This window comes from Homo sapiens, chromosome 15 (genome assembly GCF_000001405.40).
Source record: "Homo sapiens chromosome 15, GRCh38.p14 Primary Assembly".
Classification (NCBI taxonomy): Eukaryota; Metazoa; Chordata; class Mammalia; order Primates; family Hominidae; genus Homo; species Homo sapiens.
In genome coordinates, this window is record NC_000015.10 from 71,257,137 (window position 1) to 71,270,846 (window position 13,710).

General features: G+C 43.5%; 1 protein-coding gene and 1 long non-coding RNA gene across 7 annotated transcripts in view; one reads left to right on the plus strand and one right to left on the minus strand.

Moving 5' to 3' along the window:
* The window catches only part of THSD4 (thrombospondin type 1 domain containing 4), a 686,490-nt gene that overhangs the window by 160,243 nt on the left and 512,537 nt on the right, over window positions 1–13,710 (plus strand). The window lies entirely within an intron of this gene.
* LOC105370884 (uncharacterized) lies at window positions 101–5,874 on the minus strand. Of its 2 annotated transcripts, none has more exons than XR_001751791.2 (3): window positions 5,717–5,874; window positions 870–925; window positions 101–186 (listed from the first exon to the last, which is right to left on the minus strand). It is a non-coding gene; the product is annotated as an uncharacterized LOC105370884 (long non-coding RNA). The 2 variants fall into 2 exon arrangements; XR_001751790.2 differs by lacking the exon at window positions 5,717–5,874 and adding an exon at window positions 3,586–3,752.

The following is a 13,710-nucleotide window of genomic DNA, read 5'->3' on the forward strand; positions in this document are numbered from 1 at the left end:
CTCACCTGTAGGGGGCCTCACATGCTGATTCCAAAGATAATAGTAGGCAGGCATTGCCCGTGAGTACAAGATCCCCGTCATTTCCAGATGACAGAAGATCCAGAGTTGGTAGAGCAAGTTGATCCCACTCTGCATGCTGGAGTCACTTTTCTTTGTTGAAATCCAGATGATAACATGGCTTGCGGACTGAGAAGTTTTAACATTCTGAGATATTTCTACCCACCCCTGGAGAAAGTGGGCTCAGAAGAGGTGTTGGGTCAAGCAGAATTTGTGGGGGTTCTATGCTCACAGCCAAGTTGGCTGGAGAGGGAGTCCAGCTGCCTTCAGGGCCCAGTGGAAGAGCTCTGCCCAGCCAGCCCTTCTCAGCTTCAGCCCGAGGCAGTGGCTGGACAGCTAAGGTTGGCCAAGACCCAGAGTATGGAGCACTGCACAATGTGCAGGATCTGGAGAAATTGCCTTGGAAGAGGGATTGATAGTGAGTTGTGATGATTTTATTGCAGAATCAATGCCTGGGGAAGCCAAACTGTGCAAGGTGGTTCTATACTTAGAGGCCCTTGGGGAGGAGGGAAGTGGATTAGTATCTGACTGCTCTGAAATTGGATGCTAAATTGTTTTTATCTGTGCAGTGTTCTCAGAGACTCCATAGCTTCTATTAGATTCTCAGAGTGGTCCCATGACCTCAAAATTGTTAAGAACTAACTTGACTGAAAAATTGAGACTATCAAATTCAAGCAGGAAGGATGTACAGAGGAAACATAGAGCTAGCTGAGTGCACATACAACGGGTGGGGAACAGGGTGAAGGGTGAGCAAAAGAAGGATGCCAAAGTGAAATTTTGATTTGATTCTGTGGATAGAGCTTGGTTCTGACCTTTTTCATTTTTAAGGGCATTATGTTAAATTTAAGGTGGTATCCTGATTTGGATCCTGAAACAGAAAAAGGGCATTGTTGGAAAACCTAGTGAAATAGGCATAAATTGTATAGTTTAGTTAATAGTATTGTACCAGCGTTAATGTCTTAGTTTTTATAAATTGTTTGTTTTTTGTTTTTGTTTTGTTTTTGAGGTGGAGTCTTGCACTATTGCCCAGGCTGGAGTGCGGTGGCGTGATCTCAGCTCACTGCAACCTCTGCCTCCCAGGTTCAAGCGATTCTCCTGCCTTAGCCTCCCGAGTAGCTGGGATTACAGGTGTGCAACACTACGCCTGGCTAATTTTTGTATTTTTAGTAGAGGCAGGGTTTTGCCATGATGGCCAGGCTGACCTCGAACTCCTGATCTCAAGTGATCCACCCGCCTCAGCCTCCCAAAGTACTGGGATTACAGACGTGAGCCACCGCACCCAGCCTGTAAATGGTTTTGTAACATGTTAACATTATGCGAAGCTGGGTAAAGAAAGGGTATACAGGAACTTTTGTACTATCTTTGTAACTTTCCTGTAAATCTAAAATGATTTCAAAATAAAACGTCTTGAAGGCATTGTACTCCCAATTAGCTATGTCTTACATGGATTCTGGTGAAGACAAAGTGTAATACTCACTTAATATGGGTGAGGAAGAGTGCACTGGGTTAAATACTGCCCCCACCCACCACCCAAATTGGTATTCTTCCTGGAACCTTAGAATGTGACCTTATTTGGAAATAGAGTCATTGCAGATGTAATCAGTTATGTTGAGTTCATATTGGAGTAGAGTGGGCTCTTAATCTGGAATGACTTGTGTTCTGATAAGAGGAGAAAGTTGGGAGGCCAAGGCAGGTGGATCACCTGAGGTCGGGAGTTCAAGACCAGCCTGACCAACATGGAGAACCCCGTCTCTGCTAAAAAATAGAAAATCAGCCTGGCGTGGTGGTGCATGCCTGTAATCCCAGCTACTTGGGAGGCTGAGGCAGGAGAATCGCTTGAACCTGGGAAGCGGAGGTTGTGGTGAGCTGAGATCACGCCATTGCACTGCAGCCTGGACAACAAGAGTGCAACTCCGTCTCAAAAAAAAACAAAAAACAAAAAAAAAGAAGAGGAGAAAGGACACAGACATACAGGGAGTATGCCAAGTGATGATGAAGACAGAGATTGGAGTGATGCTTCTACAAGGTAACAACAAGGACTGCTGGCAGCCACCAAGAGCTAGGCAGAGACAAGGAAGCATCCTTGCCTAGAGCCTTCAAAGTGGGCGTGGTCCTGCCAACACCTTGATTTTGGACTGCCAGCCTCTAGAACTGTGAGAATAAATTTCTCTTGTTTGAAGTCATCAAGGTTATGGTATTTTGTCATGCAGCTCTAGGAAACTAATACAAAGAAGAAGGAACAAGGTTCTGGATTGATTGAGATCTACTCGCTAGAGTAGATCCAGAGGTGAGTTTGCTCCAGCTGATAGTAGCAGATGCCTTAGAGAAGTGAGGCATGTATCCAAAGTGAGCAACTGCCTCAACTGGCTCACAGATGTAGGTCTGTCCAGCACAGTGGTTCTCAGCCCTGGTTGCTCTTCAGAATCACTGAGGAGCCTCCTAGAGACACTGATGCCTAGACCCCTCCCCAGCGATTGTGATTTAATTGGTCTGGGATGCAGTCTGAACATCAGGATTTCTTAAAGATCCCAGGTGATTCTTATGGGTAGCTAGGGTAGAGAACCTCTCATCTAAGAGGGGATGACTCAGCCTACATTGAGGGACAGAATCATGGGTATTTGATAAATCCTGAAATACATTCTTGTGTCAGAACAACAATGCTTTCCAGTGAACATTTAGAGAAGAAGTGACCCTGTCTTTTGTCTGAGCTGCACCCTTGCTTTATGGCTGGCTGTGGATAATAGCTGCTTTATTGTGATTACCTGGGGGGAAAGATGAATTCCACACTACACTGAGCAGTGTGCGTTCTGTAATTTCCCCAGGAGCAGAAGCTGCCTTGCCAGACCTTTTCTGCGTGGTCTGAGGTGGCCATCAGCCAGCTGTTGTTGTCTAAGACCTTGAGGTCTGGTAGATGCAGGTCTAATATTGATAGCCCTATGCAAACCACAAAGAAAACTTTGCTAATGTTTTCATGTATTACATGTGAATGCCTGCTGTTGTCTGGCTTATGTATGGGTCTACTTTTTCTGTTATTTTTTTCCCCTCTGATTTGTGCTAGACTTTAAGACCTGGAAGAACTTATTTTTTGAACATTTGATTTAACTGATTTTTTGGAAAATTTCAAACATAGGTAAAAGTAGGGAGAATAGTATAATAGTGTGATAAGCTCCTATGTACCCACTTAATTCCATTAGTTATCAGCCCATGACCAATCTTTTTCACAAATATTTCCATCCTCTCTCTCCCACCCAGATTATGGGAAACTGCTTGAATTCACATTACAGAGCATTATTCATTGGTGGATATATTAATTGGAACTCTTGGTTGTAAGTGACAGAAACCCAAACTAAATACATTTTGATCAGAAAGGTATTTTGTTGGTCATGTTACTGGGAAATGCAAGAGGTGGCCTGGGATTCAAATGTGGCTGCATTCCAGGGAATCAGTAACATTAGGACCCTGCCTTTCTCATCTTTCTCCATCTCTAGGTTCTGTTTACTTCTGTCTCGGGCAGGCGAGAAGGCTTACCATGGGTTTGAGCTTGCAATCATACTGGGAGGGACTCTCTCACCTGGTCTTGAGGGCTGAATTGCACCCCCAAAAAGATTTATTAAAGGTACCCCTAGGCCAGGTGCGGTGGCTCACGCCTGTAATCCCAGCACTTTGGGAGGCTGAGGCAGGTTGATCACCTGAGGTCGGGAGTTCGAGACCAGCCTGACCAACGTGGTGAAACCCCATCTCTACTGAAAATAGAAAAAATTACCTGGGTTTGGTGGCACATGCCTGTAATCCCAGCTACGCAGGAGGCTGAGGCAGGAGAATCACTTGAACCCAGGAGGCAGAGGTTGCGGTGAGCCGAGATGGCACCATTGCACTCCAGCCTACCCCTGGTACCTGTGATGTAACCTTCTTTGGAAAGAGGGTCTTTGCAGATCTAATTAAGATATAAGTTTAGATGAGGTCACAGTAGAGTAGAATAGGCCCTAATCCATTGTGACTGGGGACCCACACAGAGAGCACCATGGGAAGACACAGACAGGGGGAAGACAGCCCATGTGAAGGCAGAGGCAGAGACTAAAGTGATGCAGCTATGAGCCTAGGAACGCCAAGGATTGCCAGCAACTTCCAGAAACCAGGAAAATGCGTGGAAGGATCCTTCCTCCAGAGACTTTGGAGGGAGAGTGACCCTACCAACACATTGATTTTGGATTTCTGGCCTCCAGAACTGTGAGAGAATACATTTCTCTTGTTTGTGTTCAACAGGACGCCAACCAGTTTGTGTGATATATTACATCAGTCCTAGGAAACTAATATACCTAGTGACTGTTCCAATCCCAGACAAACTATACCATGGTCTTGTTTGGATCCTGTTCCCATCCCTGGAACCTAGTTTGGGGGATGGGGTACTTGGGTTAGCTCAGGTCATGTGACCAACCCTATGGTAGGGGACCCACATCGCATGAAGAGGAGATAGGGAAGTGGGGATTGAGACAGACAGGAAAACATTCTTCTACCAAAATCAGTGCATACTTCTTTACTGGAAGCCACTGAGATGTTGAATCAACTAATTAGCATCCTAATGTGGATTAATCAGCTATCCTTTACCATGTGTTACTAGAAAATAATGCAGTCTTTTAAAATGGTCACTGACATTGATATTTTTCACATGCCTAGAAGGAGAGAGGAAGCCTATGGTCACTGAAGTTGAGTTTACTTTGGCTTTGTTTAAATAATTCTTTTTGCTGCTAAGATTGTTTTCTTGATTTTATCCTTCCTCCTCTTAAATGGCTCCCAGGCTGACCGGCGGGAGGAAGACACTGCTAATGCTTCTGCAGGGCTTTACGGCTGGATTTTGCATCGGGCTCTTGGTTTTGTTTGGATGTCTACTGCTATTCACATGTGCCTACTTAGGGAAACAGCTGCGCTCATTCAGTGCAATGCCACATAGAATAGTAAAAGCGGAGTATACTCTCTGATAAACACATTAATTTTACCAGATGGTTCTTCTTAAGCCTTTAATTGCATTTCCTGGATTTGGTGACCTATCCTTAGATAATGCCTCCAGGAATTTTTCTCATAGCCTGGGACCTATTACTGTAAAGATGGCAAAAGTGGAATTAGGGTGCCCGTGCATCCCAGTTCACCCAGGACAGTGATAGTTTATGCCTGTCGTCCCAGTCCCCTTTCACTCTCTGTCTTGGACAATAAATATATATGTCCATTACACCGAGCATGGGCAGTTTCATAGGAAGCCACTTGTTTAGGTGCTGAGATTGGAGCAAATTCTACCTGTTTTCATGCCAAGGGTAATGGGGCTGCAGCATGAGACTGGAGTTTTGCTGGGTTGCTATAGGCTATAGGGCATCAGATATCAGTTTTAATCCTTAAAACTGCTAGGGGGCAGCTTTATGTTTGGGTAGCTTGAGTGCACTGTGTGTCCCTGAGAGCTGAACTAAAGAGTGGCAACTGAAAAGCCAGAGGGGAGGCTGAGTCAGAAAGTGAAGGTCGCCAACTGGTGACATGAACAGTGATTGTATCTGTCAGCAGTGGCTGGCTTATGTTACAGTAACAAATAACCCCCAGATCCAAATGACTTAACATGACAAAAGCTTGCCTGCTGTTCACCTTCCACGTGTAAGGGTGGGTGTATTTTGCTTACCTGGGGACCCAGGCTGGTAGAAGCTGTATCTCAACTCATGATTTCACTGAGGCAGGGAAAGGGAACAAGTGACCTAGGCTCAAATTCTTTGTTTTTGTTTTTTTTTTTCTAACTTTTATTTTAAGTTCAGCGGTACATGTGCAGGATGTACAGGTTTATTACATAGGCAAACGTGTCATGGGGGGTTGTTATACAGATTATTTCATCACCCAGTTATTCAGCTTAGTAATCCATTAGTTATTTTTCCTGACCTTCTCCCTCCTCCCAGTCTCTGCCCTCTGATAGGCTCCAGTGTGTGTTGTTCCCCTGTCTGTGTCCATGTGTTCTCTTCATTTAGCTCCCACTTATAAGTGAGAATATGCAGTATTTGGTTTTCTGTTCCTGAATTAGTTTGCTGGGGATAATGGCCTCCAGCTCCATCCGTGTCCCTGCAAAGGACATAATCTCATTCTTTTTTATGGCTGCATAGTATTCCATGGTATATATATATATATACGACATTTTCTTTATCAAGTTTATCATTGATGGGCATTTAGGTTGATTCCATGTCTTTACTATTGTGAATAGTGCCAATGAAAGAACATACATGCATATGTTCATAATGCATGCATGTGTCTTTATAATAGAATGATTTATATTCCTTTGGGTATGTACCCAGAAATGGGATTGCTGGGCTGAATGGTATTTCTGTCTCTAAGTCTTTGAGGAATTGCCACAGTGTCTTCCACAATGGGTGAACTAATTTACACTCCCACCAACAGTGTATAAGTGTTCCTTTTTCTCCACAACCTTGCCAGCATCTTGTTATTTTTGACTTAATGATAGCCAGCCATACAGACTCAGGTTCTTAAAGCTTCAATTAGAATTGATCCACATTGTTTCTGCTCACATCTCATTGGCCAAAGCAAGTCACAAATCACACCTAACTTCCAAGGGGGAAGGGAGGTACCCTCCCACTATGTGCTCAAAGGAGGAGAAATGGAATATCTGTGGCTGGCCCTAGTGACTAGCAGGCAGGAAGCTCCAGTGAAATTCCCTGAATGCCTTCCTCGTTAAGTCCAGGTGACTTTTATTAGGTTGTTTGCAAGAATAGTAGATGTTGCTCCAGGGAATATTAAAGGTGCCACCACACAGTCTGATATCCACAGAGCCCTGAGCCACTTCAGTCAAGATCTACCCCTTGCGTGCTTCTGACTCCTCCACCAATCCAGCAGTCTGCCCCAACACAGACGCCATGGTGGGGCATGATGGGGCAGGGGGCGCTGTCAGATAAAAACATAGACAATATTATCAGAACTGTAAGATATGAGGGAGGGAGGCTTGTGACTAAGTGCTGGTGGACCTGGAATTAGAGTGTTCGTGTTTTACTGAAGCGGCTTTATTCATAGGCACTCTCATTCCCGCAGCCCACCCCTGTGCATAGATAATCCATAATCCTGTGAATGTTCAGAGTGGAAGGGGCAGACCTTAGAGAAATGAGAGGCGGTTTCTATTTCACTGGGAGTGGATCTGGAATGCTCCCCACAAGATCCATTCTCAGAGCTCTCTTTTACATGCCAGGGGATACCTGGCAAGACTAGGCCATGTTTGCTTTGGGGATGAGCATATCATTGAGGACAAAGCCCAGAGGGCAACCTCTTTGTGAAAACAAAATGATGATTTTGGTTTTGTATATGTTGAGTCTGAATGAATGGTGGGACCCAACAGGAGGTTAGGGATGCAAGGTTCTGAAGTTTAGGGAGATATCTTAGGGTTGTAGACCCATACTTGCAGTCATCAACCTTGGTGAGATTAGTGGATAAGACCTTCAAGAAAATGTAGAATAACAAAATGGATTTTACAAGGACCAGGAAATGAGCTTTGGAGTATGTTACATTAAGGAAGCAGGGGAAAGAGTCTCAGCCATTAAAGGACACTGAGAAGGTGATCCAGGTATAGGAGAGGCACCAAGGCATTATCATCCCATGTATCATTTCTTATGTTAATAAAGCTTATTGTGGTTTATAAAGTTCTGCTAATACACACAGCACAATGAATGCTATGGACTAAATGTTTATGTCTGTCTAAAATTCATAAGTTAGAGCCCTAACCCCCAGCGTATTTGAAGATGGGGACTCTAAGGAACTAATTAAGATTAAATGAGGTCTTAAGGGCAGGGCCCTGATCTGATAGGATTAGTGTTCTTATAAGAGGAACACTAATATTACCTGGGGACCCAGGCCGATAGAAGCTGTATCTCAACTCATGCTTTCACTGAGGCAGGGAAAGGACACCAGTGTTCCTAGTGGAACACTAACAGTGGTGGCTGGCAAGATGGTCAAGTAGAAACGGCTCCGGTCTGCAGCTCCCAGCAAGATCAATGCAGAAGGCAGGTGATTTCTGCATTTCCAACTGAGGTACCCAGCTTATCACACTGGGACTGGTTAGACAGTAGGTACAGCCCACGGAGGCTGAGCTGAAGCAGGGTGGGGCTCTGCATCACCCAGGAAGCACAAGGGGTTGGGGAACTCCCTCCCCGAGTCAAGGGAAGCCGTGAGAGACTGTGCCTTGAGGAATGGTGCACTCTAGCCCAGATACTACGCTTTTGCCGTGGTCTTTGCAACCTGCAGACTAGGAGATTCCCTCGGGTGCCTACACCACCAGGGCCCTGGGTTTCAAGCACAAAACTGGGTGGTCATTTGGGCAGACACCAAGCTAGCTGCAGGAGTTTTTTTTTCGTACCCCAGTGGCGCCTGGAATGCCAGTGAGACAAAACTGTTCACTCCCCTGGAAAGGGGGCTGAAGCCAGGGAGCCAAGTGGTCTAGCTCAGCAGGTCCCACCCCCACGGAGCCCAGGAAGCTAAGATCCACTGGCTTGAAATTCTCGCTGCGCGCACAGCAGTCTGAAGTCGACCTTAGACGCTTGAGCTTTGTGGGGGGGGAGGGGCATCTGCCATTACTGAGGCTTGAGTAGTTAGTTTTCCCCTCACAATGTAAACAAAGCCGCCAGGAAGTTCAAACTCGGCAGAGCCCACCGCAGCTCGGGAAAGTCACTGTAACCAGACTGCCTCTCTAGATTCCTCCTCACTGGGCAGGGCATCTCTGAAGGAAAGGTAACAGCCCCATTCAGGGGCTTACAGACAAAATCCCCATCTCCCTGGGACAGACCGCCTGGGGGAAGGGGCGGATGTGAGCGCAGCTTCAGCAGACTTAAACATTCCTGCCTGCTGGCTCTGAAGAGAGCAGCGGATCTCCCATCACAGCGCTCAAGCTCTGGTAAGGGACAGACTGCCTCCTCAAGTGGGTCCCTGACCCCTGTGCCTTCTGACTGGGAGACACCTCTCAGCAGGGGTTGACAGACACCTCATACAGGAGAGCGCCGGCTGGCATCTAGTGGGGGTCCCTCTGGGACAAAGCTTCCAGAGGAAGGAACAGGAAGCAATCTTTGCTGTTCTTCAGCCTCTGCTGGTGATACCTAGGCAAACAGGATCTGGAGTGGACCTCCAACAAACTCCAGCAGACCTGCAGCAGAGGGGCCTGACTGTTAGAAGGAAAACCAACAAACAGAAAGGAATAGCATCAACATCAACAAAAAGGACGTCCACGCAAAAACCACATATGAAGGTCACCAACATCAAAGAACAAAGGTAGATAAACCCACAAAGATGAGGAAAAATCAGTGCAAAAAGGCTGAAAATTCCAAAAACCAGAGGCCTCTTTTCCTCCAAAGGATCACAGCTCCTTGCCAGCAAGGGAACAAAACTGAACAGAGAATGAGTTTGATGAATTGACAGAAGTAGGCTTCAGAAGGTGGGTAATAACAAACTCCTCCAAGCTAAAGGAGCATGTTCTAACCCAATGGAAGGAAGCCAAGAACCTTGAAAAAAGGTTAGAGGAATTGCTAACTAGAATAACCAGTTTAGAGAAGAATATAAGTGACCTGATGGAGCTGAAAACCACAGCACAAGAACTTCATGAAGCATATACAAGTATCAATAGCTGAATTGATCAAGCAGAAGAAAGGATGTCAGAGATTGAAGATCAACTTAATGAAATTACAGCGTGAAGACAAGATTAGAGAAAAAAGAATGAAAAGGAATGAACAAAGCCTCCAAGAAATATGGGACTATATGAAAAGACCAAACCTATGTTTGATTGGTGTACCTGAAAGTGACGGGAAGAATGGAACCAAGTTGGAAAACACTCTTCAGGATATTATCCAGGGGAACTTCCCCAACCTAGCAAGACAGGCCAACATTCAAATTCAGGAAATACAGAGAACACCACAAAGATACTGCTCGAGAAGAGCAACCCCAAGACACATAATTGTCAGATTCACCAACGTTGAAATGAAGGAAAAAATGTTAAGGACAGCTAGAGAAAGGTCGGGTTACCCACAAAGGGAAGCCCATCAGGCTAACAGCGGATCTTTCTGCAGAAACCCTACAAGCCAGAAGAGAGTGGCAGCCAATATTCAACATTCTTAAAGAAAAGAATTTTCAATCCAGAATTTCATTTCATTTCCAAACTAAGCTTCATAAGTGAAGGAGAAATAAAATCCTTTACAGACAAGCAAATGCTGAGAGATTTTGTCATCACCAGGCTTGCCTTACAAGAGCTCCTGAAGGAAGCACTAAATATGGAAAGGAAAAACCAGTAACAGCCACTGCAAAAACATACCAAATTGTAAAGAACATCGATACTATGAAGAAACCGAATCAACTAATGGGCAAAATAACCAGCTAGCATCATAATGACAGGGTCAGATTCACACATAACAATATTAATCTTAAATGTAAATGGGCTAAATGCCCCAATTAAAAGACACAGACTGGCAAATTGGATAGAGACAAGACCCATCAGTGTGCTGTATTCAGGAGACCCATCTCATGTGCTAAGACACACATAGGCTCAAAATAAAGGGATGGAGGAATATTTACCAAGCAAATGGAAAGCAAAAAAGGCATGGATTGCAATCCTAGTCTCTGATAAAACAGACTTTAAACTAGCAAAAATCAAAAAAGGCAAAGAAGGGCATTACATAATGGTAAAGGGATCAATGCAACAAGAAGAGCTAACTATCCTAAATATATATGCACCCAATACAGGAGCATCCAGATTCATAAAACAACTTCTTAGAGACCTACAAAGGGACTTAGACTCCCACACAATAATAGTGGGAGACTTTAACACCCCACTGTCAATATTAGACAGATCAACGAGACAGAAAATTAACAAGGATATTCAGGACTTGAACTCAGCTCTGGAACAAGTGGACCTAATAGACATCTACAGAACTCTCCACCCCAAATTAACAGAATATACATTCTTCTCAGCACCACATCGGACCTATTTTAAAGTTGACCACATAATTGGAAGTAAGGCACTCCTCAGCAAATACAAAAGAACGGAAACCATAACAGTCTCTCAGACCACAGTGCAATCAAAATAGAACTCAGGATTAAGAAACTCACTCAAAACCGCACAACTGCATGGAAACTGAACAACCTTCTCCTGAATAACTACTGGGTAAATAACGAAATTAAGGCAGAAATAAAGAAGTTGTTTGAAACCAATGAGAACAAAGACATAACGTACCAGAATCTCTAGGACACAGCTAAAGCAGTGTTGACAGGGAAATTTATAGCACTAAATGCCCATAGGAGAAAGCAGGAAAGAGCTAAAATCAACACCCCAACACTACAATTAAAAGAGCTAGAGAAGCAAGAGGAAACAAATTCAAAAGCTAGCAGAAGACAAGAAATAACTAAGATCAGAGCAGAACTGAAGGAGATAGAGACATGAAAAACGCTTCAAAAACAATCAGTGAATCCAGGAACTGTTTTTTTTTTTTTTGAAAAGATTAGCAAAATAGATAGACAGCTAGCCAGACTAATAAAGAAAAAAAGAGAGATGAATCAAACAGACACAATAAAAAATTATAAAGGGTAGATCACTGATCCCACAGAAATACAAACTACCATCAGAGAATACTGTAAACACCTCTATGCAAATAAACTAGAAAATCTAGAAGAAATGGATAAATTCCTGGATGAATACACCCTTCCAAGACTAAACCAGGAAGAAGTCGAATCCCTGAATATACCAATAACAAGGTCTGAAATTGAGGCAGTAATTAATAGCCTACCAACCAAAAAAAGCCCAGGACCATACGGATTCACAGGCAAATTCTACCAGAGGTACAAAGAGGAGCTGGTACCATTCCTTCTGAAACTATTCCAAACTACTCCTCCCTAACTCATTTTATGAGGCCAGCATCATTCTGATGTCAAAACCTGGCAGAGACACAACAAAAAAAGAAAATTTCAGGCCAATAACCCTGATGAACATTGATGCGAAAATTCTCAATAAAATACTGGCAAACTGAATTCAGCAGCACATCAAAAAGCTTATCCATCACAATCAAGTTAACTTCATCCCTGGGATGCAAGGCTGGTTCAACATACACAAACCAATAAACGTACTCCATCACATAAAGAGAACCAATGACAAAAACCACATGATTATCTCAACAGATGCAGAAAAGGCCCTTGATAAAATTCAACACCCCTTCATGCTAAAAACTCTCAATAAACTAGGTATTAATGGAACGTATCTCAGAATATTAAGAGCTATTTATGACAAACCCATAGCCAATGTCATACTGAATGGGCAAAAGCTGGAAGCATTCCCTTTGAAAACCAGCACAAGACAAGAATGCCCTCTCTCACCACTCCTGTTTAACATAGTACTGGAAGTTCTGGCCAGGGCAATTAGGCAAGAGAAATAAATAAATGGTATTAAAATAGGAAGAGAGGATGTCAAATTGTCTCTGTTTGCAGATGACATGATTGTATATTTAGAAAACCCCATCGTCTTAACCCCAAATCTCCTTAAGCTGATAAGCAACTTCAGCAAAGTCTCAGGATACAAAATCAATGTGCAAAAATCACAAGCTTTCTTATACACCAATAATAGACAAATAGAGAGCCAAATCATGAGTGAACTCCCATTCACAATTGCTACAAAGAGAATAAAATACCTAGTAATACAACTTACAAGCGATGTGAAGGACCTCTTCAAGGAGAACTACAAACCACTGCTCAAGGAAATAAGAGAGGACACAAACAAATGGAAAAACATTCCATGCTCGTGGATAGGAAACATCAATATTGTGAAAATGACCATACTGCCCAAAGTGATTTATAGATTCAATGCTATCCCCATCAAGCTACCACTGACTTTCTTCACAGATTTGGAAAAAAACACTTTACATTTCATATGGAACCCAAAAAGAGCCCATATAGCCAAGACAATCTTAAGCAAAAAGAACAAAGCTGGAGGCATCACACTACCTGACTTCAAACTATACTACAAGGCTACAGTAACCAAAACAGCATGGTACTGGTACCAAAACTGATATGTAAATGAATGGAACAGAACAGAGGCCTCAGAAATAATGCCACACTTCCACAACCATCTGATCTTTGACAAACCTGACAAAAACAAGCACTGGAGAAAGGATTCCCTATTTAATAAATGGTGTTGAGAAACCTGGCTAGCCATATGCAGAAAACAGAAATTGGACCTCTTACTTACACCTTATACAAAATTTAACTCAAGATAATTATTGAGCACTTACTATATTATAGGCACAGTTCAAAGTGTTGACTCATTTAATCCTCACAATTACCCCATCAGGTGGGAACTAGTTTTTACCTTCATTTTACAGATAAAACAAAGGCCTAGACTAGTTAACTAACTTGCCCACGGTCACCTAGCTAGTAAGTGATAGAGCCAGGTTCAAACTCCAAAGTCTGGCTACAGGAATTTCTACTCATATGTATATGGAAGCCAAGAAAAGGGTTTCCAGAAGGAGAGGTGGTCAACACTGCTGAACATCAGAAGAGGTCAAGGGAAATAACTGAGAAAATAAGACAAGGATGGGCTGTTGGGAACCCTACTGGAAGGGAATTAGAGTGGTCAGGTAGCCATCTCTCTTTTTTTTTTTTTTA